The sequence below is a fragment of the Homo sapiens genome, chromosome 3 (assembly GCF_000001405.40).
Source record: "Homo sapiens chromosome 3, GRCh38.p14 Primary Assembly".
In the NCBI taxonomy this organism is placed as follows: domain Eukaryota; kingdom Metazoa; phylum Chordata; class Mammalia; order Primates; family Hominidae; genus Homo; species Homo sapiens.
Genome location: NC_000003.12, coordinates 125,463,848 through 125,488,238, shown reverse-complemented (window position 1 = coordinate 125,488,238; position 24,391 = coordinate 125,463,848). Strand labels below are relative to the sequence as shown.

Sequence of the window (24,391 nt, the reverse complement as noted above, 5' to 3'; positions counted from 1 at the left end):
CTCCCAAAGTTCTGGGATTACAGGTGTGAGCCACCATGCCTGGCCTTTTTTTTTTTTTTTTTTTTTAATAGACTATTTTTTTTTTTACAGCAGTTACAGGTTTAGTAGAGTTAGCAAAATTGAGTGGAGTATACAGAGAATTCCCAAATACCTTCTCTCCACACCCCTCCCCATTGACCTGTCACAGCCTCCCTAACTATCAGCATCCCACACCAGAGAGCTGTGTTTGTTACAGTTGATGAACCTACATTGAAACAGCATTATCAGCAAAGACCATCATTTATGTTAGGGTTCACACTTGGTGTTGGGCAGTTTTTGAGTTTGGACAAATGGATAATGACGTGTATCCACCATTATCATTTTATACAGAATAGTATTACTGTCCTAAAAATCCTCTCTACTGCACCTGTTCATCTCCTCCCTCAACCCCTGGGAATCACTGATCTTTTTATTATCGCTATAGTTTTGTTTTTTTTTTTTGGAATGTCACATCATATACAGTATGTCAACATTGAGATTGGCTTCTTTCACTTAATTTGCATCTATGGTTCCATTGAGGTTTTTATAAGTATTATACTAACATGCATGGTATATAAGAGGTGTTCTCTAGATTAAGAACTAAAATTATAAGTCACCCTCAAAAAAAGCTCTGGAAAACTTAGTAAGCTAAGTGTATGACTTTGGTGGCTGTACATCCATTAGAGAATCGTTTTTGATTGATATTTTGATAATATTTTTGATTAATACTAGTATTTTGTCAATTAGTATTTTTCAGTTGAATGAAAAATATTTTGTCAATTGAATGTTTTTCCTCCCTTTTCTGACCCAGCCAGGTTTTCTGAACTGCTGAATTTTATTTACTATCCATATTGTGTGTAGAATTTTAAGTTTAATATGACCAATAATGTCACCAAGGCAGTTTTTTTGCCCTTATGTTCTTGCTAAAGTGTATAATTGCTGTGTAATTAGTAACAGGATTTGTTTGTCTTAAATTCTGGATAATTGTGTATATTGGTCATTGTTATATCAGATTCTTAATATGTAGAATCTCTTCTAGATCTAGCTGTTACAATAGATTTTTTATATTATTAAAATATATTACTAAAATAGTTTTGTTATTTCCTAAAATTCAGAAAACCAGAAAGATTGTTTTAGAGGGATTACAAAGTGATTCTTCTAGTACTCGCTTCATTCATGTTTATCTTTCCTCAAACTAGACTGTTAAGAGCAAGTGAGTGGGAGGGCCTGGAGTCTTCTACTTTTATGTGGCCTTAGGTACTCTGTAAATGCTTTCTTTTGCATATTGGATTGCATATACATATATATGTATACACACACATATATATATATTTTTGAGATGCAGTCTCACTGTGTTGCTCAGGCTGGTCTGGAACTGCTGGGCTCAACAATCCTCCGCCTCAGCCTCTAGAATAGCTGGAACTACATGTGGATGCCACTGTGCCTGGCTTGTATATTTTTCTTAAAAGAGATGTGCCCAAGGTCTATCTCCATTTATTGAGCATCTTATATTGTTGCAAATAAACTAAACCCACTAAGTCAAAATCTAGGTGGTAAACTGACCAGATTATATAAGTAACGTACTCTCTTTTTTTGAGACGGAGTCTCTCTGTGTTGCCCAGGCTGGAGTGCAGTGCTGCTATCTCAGCTCACTGCAAGCTCCGCCTCCCAGATTCACGCCATTCTCCTGCCTCAGCCTCCTGAGTAGCTGGGACTATAGGCACCCGCCACCACGCCCGGCAATCTCCTGTCCCTAGTAGAAATAAACAATACTAACCACTCATGTACTGTGCTACATTGCATAGTAGAAGTTTCATCTAATGTGGCCAGTTTTTCTTGGCTGAAAAAAAAAAATCTATGTAACTTAACTTATACGTAAAGTGATAGTTTTTTTCTTTTAAAAGAAAACCAGTTAGATAATTGAGGTTGTGATACGTTGAGGTTATTCCTCGAGCTTCTAAATATCAGGTTATATCATTTTGTTATGCTGAGTTTGGGGCAGGAAGTATGGATAGAGAAAAATCTATATAGTGAGTTTTCTTCAAGGAGCTCGAGGTACATCGTATTAAGAATGCTTACAGAGGCCAGGTGCGGTGGCTTACGCCTGTAATCCCAGCATTTTGGGAGGCCGAGGTGGGTGGATCACGAGGTCAGGAGCTCGAGACCCACCTGGCCAACATGGTGAAATCCCGTCTCTACTAAAAATACAAAAATCAGTTGGGTGTGGTGGGGCACACCTGTAATCCCAGCTACTCAGGAGGCTGAGGCAGGAGAATTGCTTGAACCCGGGAGGCGGAGGTTGCAGTGAGCCAAGATCGCGCCATTGCACTCCAGTCTGGGCAACAGAGCAAGACTCCGTCTCAAAAAAACAGAATGCTTACAGATAGGGAGGCAAGAACCAAAGTGTAGAAACTAGAAGAAGAGGAGGGTGGGGAGTGGACTGTCATTTATGATTTCTCACAGTCACTCAGACTACAGTTTCTTTTCTTTCAGGGCTTTATCTTAGGTAATAGTTGCACAAGTTGTAAAGAAGCATAAGACAATCTGTATGGCTTGATTTATTTTCAGTATAATAGCTAGGTAGAGAAAACTACAGCCGTATGCAAATATGAACTCCAAATAAGGCCGGGCACGGTGGCTCATGTCTCTAATCCCAGCACTTTGGGAGGCCAAGGCAGGCGGATCACTTGAGGCCAGGAGTTCAAGACCAGCCTGGCCAACATAGTGAAACCCTGTCTCTACCAAAACTACAAAAATTAGCCAGGCATGGTGGCACATGCCTGTAATCCCAGCTACTTGGGGGGCTGAGGCACGAGAATAACTTGAACCAGGAAGGTGGAGGCTGCAGTGAGTCGAGATTGTGCCAGTGCACTTCAGCCTGGGTGGCAGAGTGAGACTCTGTCTAAAAAAAAAAGGAAAGCCATATAAAATAGATAAGTTATACCCCAAGCTGTGTTTTTGCCTTTGTTGTTTTTGAGACAAAGTCTTGCTCTGTTACCCAGGCTGGGGTGCAGTGGTGTGATCTCAGCTCACTGCAGCCTCGACCTCCCAGGCTCAAATGATCCTCCCATCTCAGCCTCCCATGTAACTGGGACTATAGGCAAGTGCCATCAAGCCTGGCTGGCTGGTTTTTTGTTTTTGTTTTTGTTTTTTTTTGGAGATGGAGTCTCACTCTCGCCAAGCTGGAGTGCAGTGGCGTGACCTTGGCTCACTGCAACCTCCGCCTCCCGGGTTCAAGCAATTCTCTCTGCCTCAGCCTCCCAAGTAGCTGGGATTACAGGCGCCCACCACCACGCCCAGCTAATTTTTGTATTTTTAGTAAAGACGGGGTTTCACCATGTTGGCCAGGCTGGTCTCGCACTCCTGACTTCAGGTGATCCACCCGGCCTGGCTAATTTTTTGTACTTTTTGCAGAAACAGGGTCTCACCAGCTCAGGCTGGTCTCAAGTGATCCTCCCACCTTGGCCTCCCAAAGTGCTGGGATTACATATGTGAGCCACTGCACCTAGCCATGTTTTTGCCTTTAAGATTGGAGAGAAGCATTCTCAAAAAGCCTTGATGGAGGGTCTTTTCAACATGAGTCTTGAGAAATGGATGACATCTGATTAGGAGAGGCACCTGTCCAGGCTTACTTACTAAAAGTATGTTAAAGAATATGGAGAATAAGGCCAGACATGGTAGCTCACACCTGTAATTCCAGCACTTTGAGAGGCCAAGGTGGGCAGATCACTTGAGGTCAGAAGTTCGAGGGCAGCCTGGCCAACATGGTGAAACCCCGTCTCTACTAAAAGTATAAAAATTAACCAGGTGTGGTGGCACATACCTGTAATCCCAGATACTCGGGAGGCTGAAATGGGAGAATCACTTGAACTCAAGGGGCAGAGGTTGCAGTGAGCCAAGATCGTGCCACTGCACTCCAGGCTGGGTGATAGAACTAGACCCCTTCTCAAAAAGAATATGGAAAATAAAGGGAAGCATAAAGCCTGTAATGGCAATAGGTGTACTTTGAGGAGAATAGAAAATATGGCTGATTCAGGCCATAGGACATATTGGGTTTGGATATAGACAACCTCAAACTAGAGTCTTATCAGAGTCTGCATTTACACGTTCACTTTTGCATGTCTCTAAGACAGGGATTTTAGATAGATAGTATTTCAGGAGGGAAGTTTTATGTCACCATCTTCCTAGTATGGACTGTCCTCTTTTTAAACTCCCTGTTTTCAAGTGAAACTGCAACATTCTGACGTTATATATGATTTTTAGTCTTTAATATTTCTCTAAGAACACCTAATCATTTATGATAAGATTCCTCATTTTAATATGCAGACATTCTAGATTTTGACTTGGGCTAAGAAGTTATACCCTCGTTTTCAGAAAATTCATTCCTTTATTTCTTAAACATACATTGTTATCTAAGACTTGATGAATTTTTCACTCTTCACCTTTAGGTCTTCTGATTTCCCAGTAATTGTGATTTTTTTCAAAGGTGCACATCTGTCTCTGTCCCCTAGGTGTTTAGAATCTTTTAGCTCTGACTTTCTGGTGATGTGATCACCTGGGGATGATTTGTGTTGTCACTCCTCTCCCCTCACAAGAGATTGTACCAATGTGTTAATCAAACAGAGAAACTTTAGTGTGCCTTTTATGTTCTGTGACCAAAGGTGTTAAGACCTTTCAACTCCAGAAACCTCTGCTTCACCTAATTTAAGTATTCTGAGGCTTACTGTTTATATTCTTATACATTTCTCATATCCAAATATGACAGCTAAGAATTTTGTAGTCATGCCAGATCCTGAGTATGGAAGCTGACAAAGAAACATTTTTAGGGGACCTAATCAGTTCTGGAGAAGCTCCAGAAGACCTGATCTTTAGAATTTCTAGCTCCTGGGACCCAGCACAGGAAGATCTGATCAGAGTTTAACAAAGTATTAGCCTCTTGAAACTTAAGTTCAAATCATAAAACTTCTAAGGGAAAATTGTACCAGCTCAGTTGTAACTGGCTCTACGTAAAGAAAGCCGCTCACAGTTATCTGAGATTTTATATATTTATATAAAATACATATTTATATATATTTATATATAAATTTAATTTTATTTAAATGTTTTGGAGTACATAATATATTCTTATGGTTAACCAGATATATATGTAGATTGATAAGTACGGAAAAGTTGTACAGTGAAAAGTCTCATTCCTGTTCCTCTCTATCCATTTCCCCTCCCCAGAGAGTAACACCATGTTAGTTTTTAGGTTTATATTCCTTCAAAGTTTTATCCTACAAATGCAAGTGTACATTTTCCACCTTCCATCTTGGATATAAAGGGAGATTTGTACTCTACTTAATTGGGAGCCAATCTTGCCAACTCTTTTATCCCTAAATTATTTTCCTTGCTGAAAAACACTGCCCTGGGGGAGTAAGAGTGGTTAAGTATTTTATCTAGTGATTTGATGTCCTCAACTTCACCACTGCCTCTTTATTTCAATGAACCACAGTAACTGAATACTTGGGGACTGTGAAAAGTTTTTTAAGCCACATTACAGAGTTTGAACTTTGTCTCAGGATCAGCGGATAACCTTTGCAGTAGAAAGCTGCTTAAAAGCAAGGGGGTGGTATAGATTTGGACTTTGGAAGATCATCCAAGCAGAGTGGACAGTAGATTAGAGGAGTGTGGGAGTGGGCTAGGAGGCCAGTCAGGAGGACTGGTGAGAGATGATGATGCTAATCTGAATTTAGGGCATTGGCAGAGAGACCAGAGAAAAGTGAGTGGATTGGGGCAATGTTTAGGAGGTAGAATCAACAGACTGGGCAATTAGTGGAATGTATGAGGTGAAGGAGAGGAGAAGGAAATACAGATGCACTCAGGTTTTCATTCTTTAGAGTGCAAGGGAGCACAAGGGAAAGATTTGAGGAGTAGTGGAAGATAGGTTGAGCTTTGGCTATGGAAGCAAGTACAAATGTCTACTAAATCAGTTGGTTTTATAGATCTGGAGTTAAGAGAGATTTGGGCTGATGGTAGAAATTTGGAATTTAGCAATATGTAGATCATAATCGTGAAGCTTTGTGAATGACAAGTCACATAGGAATGTATAGATTGAAAGACTGATTGGAAGATAGCTGAGGACCCAGGACTGAACCTTGAAGAAAGCCAGCACTTTAAGGATGTTTTCAAAGTATAACTACCTGAGGTCAGCTGGGCATGGTGATGCCCATATGTAGTCTCAGCTGTTTGGGAGGCTGAGGCAGGTGGATCAAGGGCTGCAGTGAGCTAGGATCAAGCCACTGCATTCCAACCTGGGTGACACAGTACTGGGCCTTTAAAAAAAAAAGAAGGAAAGAAAAATAAAGTATAACCTGAGGACTACCAGCATGTGAATCCTGTGGATGAGCTATAAAATTCAGATTCAGATTCCTGAGTCCCACGAGGACCTTGATGTATTCACATCCCTCTGAGAGACCATCAGTAGTGTTTTTAAGAAACATTTCGACCAGGCATGGTGGCTCACGCTTGTAATCCCAGCACTTTGGGAGGCCAAGGCAGGCGATCACCTGAGGTTGGGAGTTCAAGACCAGCCTGACCAACATGGAGAAACCCTGTCTCTACTAAAGAGAGACGGGTGTGGTGGTACATGCCTATAATCCCAGATACTCGGGAGGCTAAGGCGGGAAAACTGCTTGAACTCGGGAGGCGGAGGTTGTGGTGAGCCAAGATTGCGCCATTGCACTCCAGTCTGGGCAACAAGAGTGAAACTCTGTCTCAAAAAAAAAAAAAAAAAAGATTTCAGGAATTTTTTGCAGACTACAGTTGGAGATATAAGAGATGGGTGAAGGAAGTGAGTACTACAAAAGAAGCTTCAGGAGTGACCAGAGAGTGAAATGAAAGCCATGAGAAAATAATACTGACAAGGAAACAGATTTTTGAGGAGGAGGATGATGTCAGCTGTTGCATTGCCAAAAGGATCAAGTAAGAGGAGAACTAAGATTGATCACTGGATATTACAACATGAAAATAGTTGGTGACTTTGTCAGGAATATTTCCCTACTATATAGTGCTGGAGGCAGAAGCTAGATTCTCATAGGCTGTGCAGTATATGGGAATGGAAGAAGTGGTTATTGCTGGGGAAGTGATGCCTTGTGAAAGCTTGGCTATAAAAGGGGTGGATATTGACAGGGTGTTAATAGCTGGGTGTGTTGTCAAGGGAGTGTGTATTTTAATCTATGAGAGACCTGAGTTAATTGATATGCTGATGAGAAGAAGTTTATAGAGATAGGAAGTCAGGAAACAGGAATATGGGGTGTAGCTGGAATGGAATCTAGAGCGTTAGATGGGAAGAAATCCTAGTGGGAGGGAAAAAATGATGTAGATATGGGGAAGTGTGTAAGTTGATTGGCAGGAGGTAGAGGTGGGAGTCGTTCCCATCTGATGGTTTTTGTTTATCTGTGAAGCTTGGTTGTTTGGAGAATGACAGATGGTGCATCAGAAGTTTTTGGTCCTTATGGAAAATGGCAGTTAATAGATGAGGGAAGCAAATTACTTGAGCAGAATTAAGATTGAGGTTAGAGACCATGAGTTTATGATTGCACCATAATGTATCTTTTAGCTCCTTAAAGTTTTTCCTGTTTTGTATTTTCAAAGTAGTTTTTCATACCAACAGATTTTTTTTACCTATCTCAGTTCCACGAGGTAAATTATGAAGTGTGATATCTTGACTTTCAAAATATCAACAGAAAATATCATTTTATTTTAGAGTTTTTTGGATTTATATTGGTGTGTAAATGTTTAAGGCCAGCATATGGTTAAATAGAATCAGTTTTGTTATTGTCGGGAACTACTGTTTTTTTCTTTCAGTTTTTGACTGCTTGTTTTCATTTGAAAAACGATGTTTTATTTGTTTCCTGTTTCAGGAGATTTACTGACCTTAAGCACTATAGTGATGAACTGCAGTCTGTCATCTCACATCTTCTTCGAGTCAGAGCTGTAAGTGGTCCCCAAAAGCTTTTTGATGCACATGCATAAGGAAGTGCTTCTCATGTAATCATTCTGTTTTCAAGTAGTAGGTGGTATTTACCATGAATAACTGATTTTTGCATTTGAATTTATATGTTCATCATCCAAACTGCACTTTTTAAAAAAATGTGCAATGGTTTCTGTCATAAACAACTCACTTAGCCTGTTTTCTCTCCATGGTTTGTAATAGAATAGTTGTTTTGGATGTTATCAAAAGGCCTGCCATTTCAGTGCTGGAATGTAAATAAGTGTAGGATTTTAGATCTACACATCATATTCTTTCATGTTTTTTTTAAAGGTCCGTGAAATAGTTTATAGGTGTTAGGCCATCCTGTGTCTGTGCTCTTAAATTCTACCAAATAAACTAATTTCAGATAATAGTCTGCCATGACAAAAGGGACTAGAAATCAAGGAATAATAATTATACTTAACCATATAGTTCAGCTGTAATAGGCAAAGAGGGAAATACTTCTCAGTAAATTAATGTACCTGGAAAATGTACCATCCGCTCTGGTCTCTTGTGGCAACCTAGAAGGAACCTTAGAACATGCCTGTGCCAAAGGCATTGAAAGAGACTAGGATACCAGGTAAGGTCACATTTTATGCTGATTGGAATCTGGAATCCTCTTTGTTGTTATTATTATTATTATTATTATTATTTTGAGATGGAGTCTCGCTCTGTCACCCAGGCTGGAGTGCAGTGGCACAATCTCAGCTCACTGCAACCTCCACCTCCCGGGTTCAAGCAGTTCTCCTGCCTCAGCCTCCTGAGTAGCTGGGATTACAGGCATGCAGCACCATGCCTGGCTAATCTTTATTTTTAGTAGAGATGGGGTTTCACCATGTTAACGAGGCTGGTCTCGAACTCCTCCTGGCCCCAAGTGATCTGCCCACCTCAGCCTCCCAAAGAGCTGGGATTATAGTCATGAGTCACCATGCCTGGCCAGAATCCTCTTGAAATGAAATATATTGCCTGGAATTTGTTTTAATAAGAGTCCACCGATGAGCAGTGGAGAGTGGGGGCAGTTTTAGGAGAAATGAGTTTGGCTATATAGTAATTACTGAAGCTGGGTGTTGAGAAATGGAGGTATATCCTTCTGTTCTATATGCTTTTTGTATGTTTCAAGATTTCCATGACAGTACAGAAAAAATACAATAAAGGAAAAAATTCTTCTGAAGGTCTTATATTGTCTTGATCTCCCGTTTAACTGTTCAAGAGTATCGTTGGACTCTTTGAATAAATTATAAGATACCTTCTCATAAAAGTTACCTGCGAGAATTATTAGGCTAGAGTCAAGAACTGGGTATTAGAAAGGACTGTGGATTAATGAGATAAAATTTGTGGACCTTTGGTTGCCTAGAAATTACCCAGACAAATTAGGCAATAGTTCTCGTGGGAGGTGCAGATGGGGGACAAACATTCAGAGAGTCTGCATCGTACCCTCACATTGCTTCTAGTTTTTTTTTTTTCTTAAGTGGTTTTTCAGCAACTTCTCTTTTCTTCCATGCTTAATATCTTAGTAGAGGATGAATGCTCAGCTTTTAGGAAGGAGGTTTGGTATCTAAAAGTACAGGGATCTAGAAAAGTTAGTGTTAGAATGACATTTTCCATCATATATTCTCTGGAATGCTAACCCTGTAAGATGTTCCCTACTGCAAACCGTATCTCCCTTGAGCAGTCATGATTCATATGTGGTGTTAAAGGTCTAAAAGGTCCTACAGAAAAAAAACTGTTAAATTTTATTGTCTCAGTGTTTCCCAACCTTACTTGATGATGGAACCACTTAAAAAAAAAAAAGAAAAGAAAAACATTCAACACTGCACAGACTGCTCAAAAAATACTTGGGGGCCAGGCACAGTGGCTCGTACCTGTAATCCCAGCACTTTGGGAGGCCAAGGTGGGCAGATCATTTGAGGTCAGGAGTTTGAGACCAGCCTGACCAGCATGGTCTTTACTAAAAATACAAAAACTAGCTGGGCGTGGTGGTGCATGCCTGTAATCCCCACTACTCGGGAGGCTGAGGTGGGATAATCGCTTGAACCCAAGAGGCAGAGATTGCAGTGAGCTGAGATCGTGCCACTGTACTTTAGCCTGGGAGACAGAGTGAGACTCCGTCTCAAAATAATAATAATAATAATAATAGTAATAATAATAAGAAGAAGAAGAAGGAGGAGGAGGAAATGACATCCTAGAGAAATTAGTTTAGAGGTCTGGGGACAACCTGTAAGAGTTTCAAGTAGGAGTAGGACTATGAACTTTGTCCTGAAAGCTGGTTCTAATGTAGGGGCCAGCATCTTGTTTCTGAAGGCCAGATGGGAGGTGTTTTCAGCTTTGTTAGCTTTATGGTTTCTGTTGCATCTATTCAGCTCCACTGTGAACCTGACAGTGCTCCAGTGAGACTCTGTTTACAAAACAAGTGGCAGACCTGTAGTGTGTTAACCCCTAGTCTAGTGGGTACGTGTTTCCTCAGAGCAGGCCAACAATAGATGGAAAACATTTTATGATCCTCATACACCTACTTGAAGTATTTGCAGTGGCGGTTCTGTCACTGTAAGATGAGATCTTGAAAGGGTTGATTTGTTCTATCATTAATGTCTAATTCCTCATACTCATGTTTGAGTAAGGAATCAGGGAGCTAATTTATCCTTAGAGCTTATACTTAGAAACTGTATACCAGAAATTTTTTCTAGAGCTTTTTGTAGGATGAGCCTTTGGTCTTCCAGTTTGTTTTCATAATGCTTTGGGGGAACGTAAAGCAAATTAATTACCATATTGAGGTTTTGTTTTAACTTGTAAAATTTCTGTGAATGGCTAGGCAGTACACATTTCAGTGATGTAAATTGTAATTCTGTTGTTATTAAAATAATGTGTTCGTTGGTTAGGAGTTATCTTTTGACAAAGTAGCATAGAAGTATATGCATGTATTCAGCATTTATATATAAAACTATATCTCAATAGAATTGAAAATGTATCCGTTCCCTTGGTTAATTCCACTTTGGGGATTTTATTATAAGGAAACAATCTGAGGGAAAAAGGCTTATTCTCAGAGATAACTTTTTATAATACTGAAAAATTAAGAATAACTGAATCCCAACAAGATTATTCAACAAGGAATGCTTGTATGTCTTATATACTACTTAGTGGAATTTTATGCAACTATTTATAGTGGTATTTATTAAATACCTGATGGGTAAGCATATTACCACTCTTGCTGTAGGCAATTTAAAAACAGTAATTAAAAACTTTGCAGAAAAAGAAGTACAAAAGTATAAGATATGATAAATATGGTAAGAGCACTGGTTTTAGTTTTAGGGGGATGGGATTTTTGGAGATTACTATTTTTCTTTTTTCTATTTCCAAGTTTATTGTAGTAAGCATGTTTTTTGTTTTTTGGGTCTATTTTTTAGATGAGGATATAACTTTGACCTAAAAGCAATTTCTATTAAATATTTATTTCAGAGAGTAGCAGATCGACTCTATGGTGTATATAAAGTACATGGGAATTATGGTCGAGTTTTCAGGTAAGCATCATACAAACTTTAAAAATAATTAGCTTTAATTACCTTTTTGCCTGAAAACAATAATTCTTGAACATTTATGAGTGTGGAGAGAAGATTATTTCTTTTTTTGTTTGTTTTTGTTTTTTGAGATGGAGTTTCTTTCTTGTCACCCAGGCTGATGCAATGATGTGATCTCGGCTCACTGCAACCCCCGCCTCCTGGGCTCAAGTGATTCTCCTGCCTCAGCCTCCCCAGTAGCTGGGATTACAGGCATGCGCCACCACACTGGGCTAATTTTGTATTTTTAGTAGAGATGGGGTTTCACCGTGTTGGTCAGGCTGGTCTCGAACTCCTGACCTCAAGTGATCTGCCTGCCTAGGCCTCCGAAAGTGCTGGGATTACAGATATAAGCCACTGCACCCAGCCCTTTTTTTTTTTTTTTTTTTTTTTGAGATGGAGTCTTGCTCTGTCGCCCAGGCTGGAATGCAGTGGCGCAATCTCAGCTCACTGCAACCTCTGCCTCCTGGTTTCAAGCAGTTCTCTGCCTCAGCCTCCCAAGTAGCTGGGATTACAGACACCTGCCACCACACCTGGCTATTTTTTTGTATTTTTAGTAGAGATGGGATTTCACCATGTTGACCAGGCTGGTCTTGAACTCCTGACCTCGTGATCCACCCGCCTCGGCCTCCTAAAATGCTGGATTACAGGTGTATGCCACTGCACCCGGTTTTTTTTTTAATACAGGGTCTCACTTTGTCACCGAGGCTGGAGTGCAGTGGTGTAGGTCTTGGCTCACTGCAACCTCTGCCTCTCAGGCTCTAGTGATCCTCCTGCTTCAGCCTCCCAAGTAGCTGAGACCACAGACACACATCACCATGCTCTGCTACTTTTTGTATTTTTTTGCAGAGATGGGACTTTACTATGTTGCCCAGGCTGATCTTGACCTCCTGAGCTCAGGTGATCCATTGGCTTCGGCCCCCCATAGTGCTAGGATTACAGACATGAGTCACCATGCCTGGTCCCCTACTTCGGATTATTAAAAAATTTTCTCAGCCAGGCGTGGTGGCTCATGCCTATAATCCCAGCACTTTGGGAGGCCAAGGCGGGTGGATCACCTGAAGTCAGGAGTTTGAGACCAGCCTGGCCAACATGGTGAAACCTCATCTCTACTAAAAATACAAAAATTAGCCAGGCATGGTGGTGGGCTCCTATAATCCCAGCTACTCAGGAGACTGACTCAGGAAAATCGCTTGAACCCAGGAAGTGAAGGTTGCAGTGAGCTGAGATCACACCAGTGCACTCCAGCCTGGGCGGCAGAGTGAGACTCCATCTCAAAAAATGAAAAAAATTTTTTCTCAGGTGGTGGGTTCTAGGTGGGAAAAAAAATTCTCATTTCTTCTGTATTTTGTGGTTTCATAAATTTTTGATTCAGCTATAATTTATTTGAATGTAAGATGTGAGATAGAGATTTAAATTTATTTAATTCATTTATTAGAGTAGTAGGTTATCCATATGTCTTTGGTTGATCAATACATTAAAATTAAATGTCAGTTGAGACAGATCAAGGTTATATGACTTTTTTAATTAAAAGAAGCTTATTGATATTATAAAAATGTAAACTCTTCATAACTAGGACCAGGGTCTATGAAAATATATGGTCAACTGTAAAAGAATAGTATAATGGGAAGAAAGACAAATAGTATTATACGTTTTGAAGTCTACCTCATACTGTCTGACTTAATATTAATTGCTTTTAGTTTTATGCACAAGTCATCTCTAATTTTTAGTATTACTCAAACTGGAACCCAATTAAGCTTGGGAACAATGCTTATTTAAAAACAAAAATTATATCCCATAGGAGACATGTGGGGGGGAATTAACATAAACTAAACATTCTCAAAGGTAGCACATTTATTATAGTTAATAAATGAACTTTTTAATTAATTTGAGAGGCAGGTAGACAAAAGATCAATTGGTTGAATCAAACTTTAAAGAAAATTATTTGCATTAATGCCACATGATAAATATTGTACAGGTTTGTTTTTTTTGCCAGCTTAATAAATTATTAGAAAGCCACTTTACATTTAAAAAATTTCATGAGGCTGGATGTGGTGGCTCTCATCTGTAATCCTAGCACTTTGGGAGGCCAAGGAAGGAGGATCACTTGAGGCCAGGAGTTCAAGACAAGCCTTGGCAACATAGCAAGACCCCATCTCTACAAAAATAGTTTAAAAATTAGGCATGGTGGCACATGCCTATAGTCCTAGCTGCTTGGGAGGCTAAGATGGGAGGAACACTTGAGCCCAGGAGTTCAAGGTTATAGTGAGCTATGATCACACCACTGCACTCCAGCCCAGGTGACAGAGCAACACCCTGTCTCTCAAAAAAATAAAAACAAAAATAGATAATAAATAAAAACATCTTACGACAACTGAGCCAGAAAGACCAGAGGTGGTTGAGGTAATTTAATCAAGACCTGAACTACAGCAGTTGCCAGTGAAGAATAAAGAGACCTAAATGATAGACTTACCAGTGGATTTTTTTCAGTCATTCAGCATACGGTAACTGAGCTCCTGTTACCATGGTAGGTGCCAAGAATACCAAGATTTAATTTAGGGCAGTTGAGTGCCTAAGGATTTGTGATAGAGAATGTAGGTGGAATGGTGGGTTTGAGGGATGAGGTTGAGGGTTCTCATGTGGATAAATTGCATTCTAACTAAAGATTTTTATTAAGCAGTTAGAAATTTGGATCAGGAATTTAAGAAGCTAGTGAGAATATGAGTTGTATATATAAAGTGTGTCCTTATAGAGTGATTTTTTAAAACATAGAGTTAGTTGATAATATTAGAGGGTTAGAGCAAGTCTACAAGAGACTCAAGGGAATATCTGCGTTCAGGGATCAGGCAAGAAATTGATGAGGAACATGGAGTATTCAAAGTCAAGCAAGTGAAGGGAACACTTCAATAATGCTTGGAGTTATACTGTAGAGAAATTGAATTTAGGCCAGGCACAGTGGCTCATGCCTGTAATCCCAGCACTTTGAGAGGCCGATGCGGGCAGATCACTTGAGGTCAGGAGTTCAAGACCAGCCTGGCCAATATGGTGAAACCTCATCTCTACTAAAAATACAAAAATTAGCCGGGCATGATGGCGTGTGCCTGTAATCCCAGCTACTTGGGAGGCTGAGGTGGGAAAATTGCCTGAACTAGGAGGTGGAGGTTGCAGTGAGCCGAGATTGTGCTGCTGCACTCCAGCCTGGGTGACAGAGCAAGACTCCATCTCAAAAAAAAAACAAAAAAGAGAATTGAGTTTAGATGAGAAGGGGGAAAATGGGTAAGTACATCTTTGGTGTTAATTTGGAAAGCAGTTTAAGTGGTATGATGTTATGTCCTAGTGATCTAGGAATAAGAGGAAAGGATTAAGGAAGGAAAGACAGCAAGTTATTGATTAGTCTTTTAAGAAAGTCCCTACTCATGGATGTGAAGATGGCAACAGTAGACACCGGGAACTGCCAGAGCGGGGAGGGAGGGTGGAAGGAGACAAGGGTTGACAAACTAACTATTGGGCGCTGTGCTCACTGTGTGGGTGATGGGCTCATTTGTATCTGAAATCTTCACACCATCCAGTGTACACATGTAACAAACCTGCACATGTACATGTACTTCCTGAGTCCAAAATAAAAGTTGAATTTTTTTTTTTCAAAAGTGCCTGAGGAAAAAGATGAACTGTGGTTATTTTTGAAGGGTAATAAGACTTTTTTGAGAAGAGGCTGGGGCTGGGGTGGGATGGTGGACAGGGGAGGGATAGGAGCATGGACAAGGGAGAAGATAGGGAAGGTGCAGAGCTGTCTTAAGGCAGGGGAGAGGTGAGTTGTAGAAGGCACCGTGAAGTAGGTATCTTTTTTGAGAACAAGTTTGTGTAATTGTGTGGTTGTGGGGATTGAGGGGAATGACATTGGGCAGTCTGTCTCAAACAGTGCAGAGAATTCTCTTTTGGGGGATTGGAGGGAGGGGTGCCAATAATACTTAAACTTGTCCTACTGCAAAACCTCCTTTACCTCCCTTCACCAATTCACATGACATTGGCCAGAAGCAGCTGTACCAAGTGCAGGAACTCTCTGAAGGCTTGAGTTTTATCAATTCATGCAAAATCTACATTGTATGGATACTTTAATATTTATTTTTAAAAGTTTATTTTTCCCCACTAATGTTTAAGTAAAATTTATTCTTCAGAAAGAGTGTGCCATGTCTATTATATGGCTTCCAATATCCATGATGAAAACATCCCAGCTTGAGAAGCACTGATGAAGGCAACACTTCGGAATGTGGAAAGGATTGCTGAGCAGCGCCAGTTTGTGGGAGATGGTTTTTATCTTTTTGGTGCTGCTGACCTATAAGAGTAATGAAAAAATTCAAAAGTTGGGGGCCACATAATCGGAAAAAAAATTAATTTGTTCTTTGGTTTGCAGTTTGAGAGGGGAAGAAATACAAAGCTGGTTTTATCAGCTTTTTTTTCTTAATTGAAATTTTTTCAATATATTCCTTAAGTAATTTTTGTAAAATTATGGCAATTGGAGGTTGGAGTGAAAGAATGGACTAAGAAAAAAGACTGAGCTGTGACTAGAAAAGGACTGACATGAAGCAACAGATGTTATGTAGGTGAGAAATGAGCAGGAATTAGGCTTACAGAGAAGAAACAGGGAAGATTTTGTAGTATGTTCATGGTGCTGCTGATGTTATGTTTGTTTTATTTGTTTGTTCATTTAAGTAGAGGAGTTTATTTTGTGCCCTTACATCCCTAGGCCTTTTGCAGCCTCCTTCCCTTATTAATAGCACCTGACCCAATTTAGGATAAGCCTAAAAAAGGGCTATTCCCCATAGGGGCTTATAGGACTAGTTTCATGCTCAGACAGGAACTTTCAGATCCACCTGTGCAGAAATGGACTAAATACATAGGTGGGGTTCACTCTGCAAAAGACTTAGAGAAGAGGAGGAAAGAGTTTTAAGTACCAGTAACTATGCATTTAAAGCTGATGAAAGCAGTGAGGAGCTAATAGCCTAAAATGTTGTGTTCTGTTAATTGAACATTTTAAAATATTCATCTTAATTCATAGGTTGTGAATCCATATGGAAGCAACCAAAAGTAACCGTCTCTCCCAGATTCAGTGTTACAGTTCCTTTCAAGAGATTCCAGGAAAATAGACACATTTCTTTCAAAAAGCTATGTGCAAAGGCACACCAACTTGTTATGTACCTCAGAGCTCAAAGACACAAAGATGTACTTGTGTTTAATAATTCTATAATTTTTAATTTTTTAATTACATGTATGGTAAGTGGTGAAAAGCTTTTTTTTTTTTTTTTTTTTTTTTTTTGAGATGGAGCTTTGCTCTTGTTGCCCACACTGGAGTGCAATGGCGCGACCTCGGCTCACCGCAACCTCTGCCTCCCGGGTTCAAGCGATTCTCCCACCTCAGCCTCTCGAGTAGCTGGGATTACAGGCATGTGCCACCATGCCTGGCTAATTTTGTATTTTTAGTAGAGACAGGGTTTCTCCATGTTGGTCAGGCTGGTCTCGAACTCCCGACCTCAGGTGATCTGCCCTCCTTGGCTTCCCAGAGTGCTGGGATTATAGGCGTGAGCCATCATGCCTTGCCAAAAAGCTCTTTTGACTAAGACAACAAAAAAAGTTAAGTGCCTTAAGTTGGGACTGGTAGATACAGGACTCTGTTGGAGGTTGGTTCTAGGCTCAGCTCTGTCTCTGATCAGCTGCCTGACTGAGTAAACCATGTTAGGTTTCTGGGCCTGAGTGTCTGTTCTTAATTGTTGGGGTAGATGAGGACAGTGATTTTCAAACCTTTTTTTAGCTTGGAACTCTTATGTTTAAACAAAGTCTCGTACAGAAATATAAACAAATAGAACCTATTTGCACAGACCTGTTTGGGGCTAGAGATTTTATCCTTGATGAACACCAGACTGGGTTACTAAATTTAGCTCTAAACCTTTCTTTTTGTTGTAATTAATATTTTTCATTCCTGTCCAAAATCTTGACTTTCAGGCATTCTTGGAGTCTTTTCTTTTTTTTAATTTCATGGAGCTACAAAATACTAGAGCGACCCTTGTGGTTTTTCAGTTCGAGTTCTAGATCCAAGAGGTGAGGGTGGACTTCAGGTTGTCTGAAGTCTCTGAAATTGTACACAAAATGTTGTGTTTTTTGTTTTTTTTTTTTTAACTTTTTAGGGAAAAGATACATAGTTTTCATCTATACTAAGAGTATAATACTATTTTATTTTTTATGATATGTTGGAATTGAAGATGATTATTATACATTCTTTAAATAGCAGAAAAATTGGAAACAACCTGTATAGCCAGGAAACTGGTTAAAAAGATTGTGAGTTGCCATTTAAAATGACATTTAGAACAAATTATTTTAATAGTATGGGAAAATACTATTTAAAAAAAGCATGACACAAACTCACATATACCATATGATCTCAGCCACTTTAAATTACGCAAATAAGACTAGAAGGAGGTGTATCAAATTATGTTATCTCTTGGCATTTGGGATTATAGATTTATTTTCCCAGTTTACTATAATAAGCATATATAACTTCCATAAAAAGATTTTTAATGTAAAGCATTTCACAGAAATGACAACAAAATGATCTGTGGCTCTAGTAGCTTTCTTGTGTAATATGATTATTATTATTAAAACTTTACTCTGCACCTACTGTTTCTATACAGTTGTCTTTTTCTGTTAGCTACTAGAACAGTGGCATGTAATCAGGTATGTTCATCAGAGCCGTACATGGAGTATTTAAAAATGTACATGTCTCACTCTATCCCCACAGCTTCTGATTAAGTAGATGAAGAGTAGGGCTAGCATCCGTATTTTTTAAAAGCTTTACAAATGATTTAAATCAGCCGCCTAACTGAGAATGTAATCTATAACCAGAAGCTGTTGAGTATGATACTTACCTTCCGCTTAGCAGCAAGCATCAACGTTTGAAGCCTTCACTTCACATTTAGTTGTTAAACTTAAGGGGAAAACAGCATATTTGAGTTATACAAAATAAACCCAAATACGGGTGCTATACATTATTTTAAAGCTAGCTAGACAAGAATCTTGAAAAGAGTCCATTTAATACTATTCCATATCTCTAATGCATGTTGCTTTTGGTTTTATCTTTTACTCCCTAGTGAATGGAGTGCCATAGAAAAAGAAATGGGTGATGGACTGCAGAGTGCTGGTCATCATATGGATGTGTAAGTACCTCGAGAACTTTTGTGAAGCCTGAGGTGAAGTCCTGTAGTGAAGCATTAGTGACTCTTCTATTCTTCTGTTTTTATCAAGTTTGCTGGCATTTATATTGCGCTCTATGTGTACATATCTGACTTAAATTTATCTCAGGAATGCAAAGTTAGTTTAACATTTGAAAATCCATCTAATTCATATTTTAACAGAATGAAGATGAAAACATTGAAGGTATGTTCATTTCCATACATGTAGAAAAAGCATTTGATGAATTTTAACACCCATTTACAGTAAAAAGTCTCATCAACTAGGAATAAAAGGGAATTTTCTCAGTCTAAAATTTATAGCCAATATTGTACTTAATAGTGAAATATTGAGGCTTTCTCTTAAGGTCAAGAAAAAGGCAAGGTTGTTTGCTCTTGCCGCTTTTAGTAAACATTGTACTGGAGGTCCTACTCAATATGGTGAGACAAGAAAATTAAATAAGAGCCCTAAATATTAGGAAGAAGCAAAACTATATTTTCAGTTGAAAGGTCTTTTACACAGAAAACCATAAACAATCAACCAAAAACATTGTAGAACTAACAACTGATTTTTTTTTTTTTTTTTTTTTAAAGAGACTAGGTCTTACTTTGTTGCCCAGGCTGGAGGGTATTGGTACAATCACAGCTCACTGCAGCTTCAACCTTCTGGGCTCAAGCACACCTTCCACCTCAGCCTCCCAAGTAGCTAGGACTACAGGTGCATGCCACCACGCCTGGCTAATTATTTTTTATTTTTTTGTAGAGGCAGAGTGTTGCTATGTTGCCCAGGTCGATCTTGGACTCCTGGCCTTAAGCAATCCTCCTGCCTTGGCCTCCCAAAGTGCTGGGATTACAGGCATGAGCCGCTGTTCCCAGATTGAATTAAATTTTTTTTTTTCTTTTTTTAGAGATGGGGTCTTGCTGTGTTTCCCAGGCTGGTCTCAAACTTCTGGCCTCAAGGGATTCTCCCATCTCAACCTCCCAAAGTGCTGGGATTAGCGGCGGGAGCCAGCACACCTGGCCAACAACTGAATTAATTTTATTTTTTCCAACTTCTATTATAGGTTCAGGGGTTACATGTGCAGGTTTGTAAATTGCCTGACATGGGGATTTGGTGTACAGATCATTTCATCACCCAGTAAGCTTAGTACCTGAGAGGTGGTTTTTCGATTCTCACCCTCCTCCTAACCTCCACCCTTAAGTAGGCATTGATTTCTGTTGTTCTCTTCTTTGTAATCCACGTGTACTGAATGTTTAACTCCCACTTATAAATGAGAATATGTGATACTTGGTTTTTTGTTCCTGTGTTAATTCACTTAGGATAATGGCCTCCAGCTGCATCCATGTTGCTGCATCCTTATTGCTGCATCTATTCTCTTACATGGCTGTGTAGTATTCCATGGTATACATGTACCACAGTTTCTTTATCCAGTCCACCGTTCATGGCATTTAGGTTGATTCCATGTCTTCGCTATTGTGAATACTGCTGCAGTGAACACAGGCGTGCATGTATCCTTATGGTAGAATAATTTATATTTTGGGGGATATAGACCCAGTACTGGGAGACTGCTGGGTTGAATGGTACTTCTATTTTAAGTTCTTTGAGAAATCTCTAGACTGCTTTTCACAGTGGCTGAACTAATTTACTTTCCCAACAGCAGTGTGTGTTCCTCTTTCTCTGCAACCTTGCCAGCATGTTATTTTTTGACCTTTTAGTAATAACCATTCTGGCCAGGTGCAGTGGCTCACGCCTGTAATCCCAGCACTGTAGAAGGCTGAGGTGGGCAGATCTCTTGAGCCTAGGAGTTCAAGACCAGCCTGGGAAACATAGCAAGAACAAGTCTCTGTTATTTAAGTTAAAAAAAATAATAATAATAACCATTCTGACTAGCGTGAGATGGTATCTCATTGTGGTTTTGATTTTCATTTATTTAATGATGTTGAGTATTTTTTCATGTTTGTTGGCCACATGTATGTCTTCTGTTGAGAAGTATCTGTTCATATCCTTCCCCCCACTCCTTTATTTTTATGTTTATTTTTGTTTTCATTTTTTCTGAGATGGAGTCTCACTCTGTCACCCAGGCTGGAGTGCCGTGGCGCAATCTTGGCTCACTGCAACCTCTGCCTCCCAGGTTCAAGCAATTCTCCTGACTCAGCCTCCCGAGTAGCTGGGATTACAGGCGCCCACCACCACACCCGGCTAATTTTGGTATTTTTAGTAGAGACAGGGTTTTGCCATTTTGGCCAGACTGGTCTCAAACTCCTGGGCTTGAGTGATCTGCCCAACTCAGCCTCCCGAAGTGCTTGGATTACAGGGGTAAGCCACCGCACCTGGCCCTTTTTTTTTTTTTTTTTTTGGAAGACAGAGTCTCACTCTTTCACCCAGGCTGGAATGCAGTGGCACCATCTCAGTTCACTGCAACCTCTACCTCCCGGGGTCAAGTGATTCTTCTGCCTCAGCTTCCCAAGTAGCTGGGACTACAGACATGTGCCACCACACCCAGCTAATTTTTGTATTTTTAGTAGAGACGGGGATTTGCCATATTGGCCAGGCTGGTCTCAAACTCCTGACCTCATGATCCGCCCACCTCAGCCTCCCAAAGTGCTGGGATTATAGGCGTGAGCCACTGCGTCCGGCTTTTTTTCTTTTTTTAAACAGAGTCTTACTCTGTCTCCCAGGCTGGAGAACAGTGGTGCTATCAGCTTACTGCAGCCTCCTCCTCCCCAGTTCAAGCGATTCTCCTGCCTCAACCTCCCAAAAGTGTGGGATTACAGGTGTGAGCCACCACGCCTGGCCTCCTTTGCCCATTTTTAAATTGAGCTGTTTTTTGCCTGTTAATTTGTTTAAGTTCCTTATAGATTCTGGATATTAAACCTTTGTCAGATAACATAGTTTGGGAATATCTTCTCCCATTTCGTAAGTTATCTGTTTACTCTGTTTATAGTTTCTTTTGCTGTGCAGAAGCTCTTTAGTTTAATTAGGTCCCAACTGTCATTTTTTGTTTTGTTGCAATTGCTTTTGGAGTCTTCATCATGAAATCTTTGCCATAGCCTATGTCCCAAATGGTATTTACTAGGTTTTCTTTTTTTTTTTTTTGTTAATAGTTATAGGTTTTACATTTAAGTCCTTAGTCTATCTTGAGTTGATTTTTGTATGTGATAACAGGAAGGGGTCCAGTTTAAATCTGCATATGGCTAACCAACAACTGAATTTAATTAAGATGCAGGATGCAAGTTTAATATCTAAAAATCTATTATATACTAGCAACAATTTGAAAATAAAAAATTTAAAATAATGCTATTTATGATAACATCAAAACATAAAACTTAGGTATTAATTTAATGAAAGATATGAAAGACCTCTACAGTGAAAACTACATAAAACATTGCTGAGAGAAATTAAAACCTAAATAAATGGAAAGATAAACTATGTTCATGGATTGGAAGGCATTGTTAAGATGTCAGTTCTCCCCAAATTGCTAATTCTAAAGTTTACATGGGCCGGGCACAATGGCTCACACTTTTAATCTCAGCTGTTTGGGATGCCGAGACAGGTGGATCACTTAAGGTCAGGAGTTTGAGACCAGGCTGGCCAACATGGTGAAACCCTGTCTCTACTAAAAATACAAAAATTAGCCGGGTGTGGTGGCGCATGCCTATAGTCCTAGCCACTTGGGAGGCTGAGGCAGGAGAATCACTTGAACTCGGGAGGCAGAGGTTGCAGTGAGCCGAGACCACACCACTGCACTCCAGCCTAGGTGACAGAGTGAGACTTTGTCTCAAAAAAATAAAATAAAAAGTAAAAGTTTATATGGACATTTAAAGAACCTAGAATAGCTACAACAATCTTGACAAAGAACAAAACTGGAATATATTACTTTCAAGATTTACTAGGCCGGGCACAGTGTATCACACCTGTAATCCCAGCACTTTGGGAGGCTGAGGCGGGTGAATCACCTGAGACCAGGAGCTCAAGACCAGCCTGGCTGACATGGCGAAACCCCATCTCTACTAAAAATACAAAATAAATTAGCCAGGTGTGGTGGCAGGCGCTTGTAATCCCAGCTACTCAGGAGGCTGAGGCAGGAGAATCACTTGAACCCAGGAGGCGGAGGCTACAGTGAATCGAGATTGCACCATTGCACTCCAGCCTGGGTGACAAGAGTGAAACTCTGTCCCCACCTCCCAAAAAAAAAAAAAAGATTTACTATAAAGCTAAGTTATGAAGATAGTGAGGTATTGGCATAAAGTTAAACAGATTGACCAGGTACAGTGGCTCATGCTGTGATCCCGGCTCTTTGGCAGGCAAACGTGAGTAGATCCCTGGAGTCCAGGAGTTTGAGATCAGCCTGGGCAACATGGCAAAACCCTGTCTCTACAAAAAACTACAAAAATTAGGCCCGGCATGGTGGCTCAAGCCTGTAATCCTAGTACTTTGGGAGGCCAAGGTGGGTGGATTATGTGAGGTCAGGAGTTTAAGACCAGCCTGGTCAACATGGTGAATCCCTGTCTCTACTAAAAATATAAATATTAGCCAGGTGTGGTGATGTGCACCTGTAGTCCCAGCTACTCAGGAAGCTGAGGCAGGAGAATTACTTGAACCCAAGGAGGCAGTGGTTGCAGTGAGCCTAAGATTGCACCACTGCACTCCAACCTGGGTGACAGAGCAAGACTTTGTCTCAAAAAAACCAAAACTACAAAAATTAGCAGGGAGTGGTGGCATGTACCTGTACTCCCAGCTACTCGGGAGGCTGAAGTGGGATGATCACTTGAGCCCAGAAAGTCAAGGCTGCAGTTGAGTCATGATCCTGTCACTGCATTTTAACCTGGGTGAGAGTGAGACTGTGTCTCAAAAAAAAAAAAAAAAAAAAAAAAAAGAAAGATAAATAGATCAATGGAACAGAATTCTGTACAGAAATAGACTCACACTTCTATAGCTCATTTCAACAAATGGTGTTGGAATAACTGGATATCTACATGGAAAAAAAAAAACCTTGAGCCTTATCTTACACTTGACACAAAACTAATTCAATTCGGCTCATACACATAATTGTAAAAGGTAAAAGTATAGCTTATAGTGGAAAACATTGTTAAGAAGGATATGAAAAGAAAAAATTACTTTAAATGGCAAATTGGTCTTCATCAAATTTAAAATTTTTGTTTAAATTTTGATGACCAATTTACCATTTGATACCATTGAAGGAGCAAGAAATTGAGAGTTAAATGGGGTGCAGAGTTTCAGTTGCAGACGATGAGAAAATTATGGAGGTGGGTGGTGGTAATGATTATGCAACAGTGTATATATACTTAATACCACTGAGTTGTATACTTAAAAATTATTAACAAGGTAAATTTTATATTATGTATGTTTTACTATTTTTTAAAATTTTAATATAAATTGATACAGGGTCTCACTGTGTTACCCAGGCTGGTCTCAAACTCCTGGGCTCAAGTAATCCACCGTCATAGCCTCTCAAAGTGCTGGGATTACAAGCATGAGCCACCCCGCCAGGCCTTTACTATTTTTTAAAAAGCGACACTATTAAGACAGTGAAGAAGCAAGTATAGGAGCAAACATTTCTAACCATAGTATA

The 24,391-nt window shown here is 39.8% G+C and overlaps 1 protein-coding gene across 3 annotated transcripts in view; it reads left to right on the top strand.

The window, feature by feature from the left end:
- The window catches only part of SNX4 (sorting nexin 4), a 73,553-nt gene that overhangs the window by 31,964 nt on the left and 17,198 nt on the right, over positions 1-24,391 (top strand). For 2 of the 3 annotated variants that reach the window (NR_073435.2, NM_003794.4), the window contains 3 exons: positions 7,920-7,992; positions 11,483-11,544; positions 18,720-18,785. Coding sequence is in view for 2 of the 3 variants with exons in the window: in NM_003794.4 (NP_003785.1) it covers positions 7,920-7,992; positions 11,483-11,544; positions 18,720-18,785 (201 nt within the window). In the remaining variant the exon portion in view is untranslated. Of the gene's footprint in view, positions 1-7,919; positions 7,993-11,482; positions 11,545-17,577; positions 17,674-18,719; positions 18,786-24,391 lie in introns of all 3 variants that reach the window. The other variant, XM_017007414.3, reaches the window with a different exon arrangement.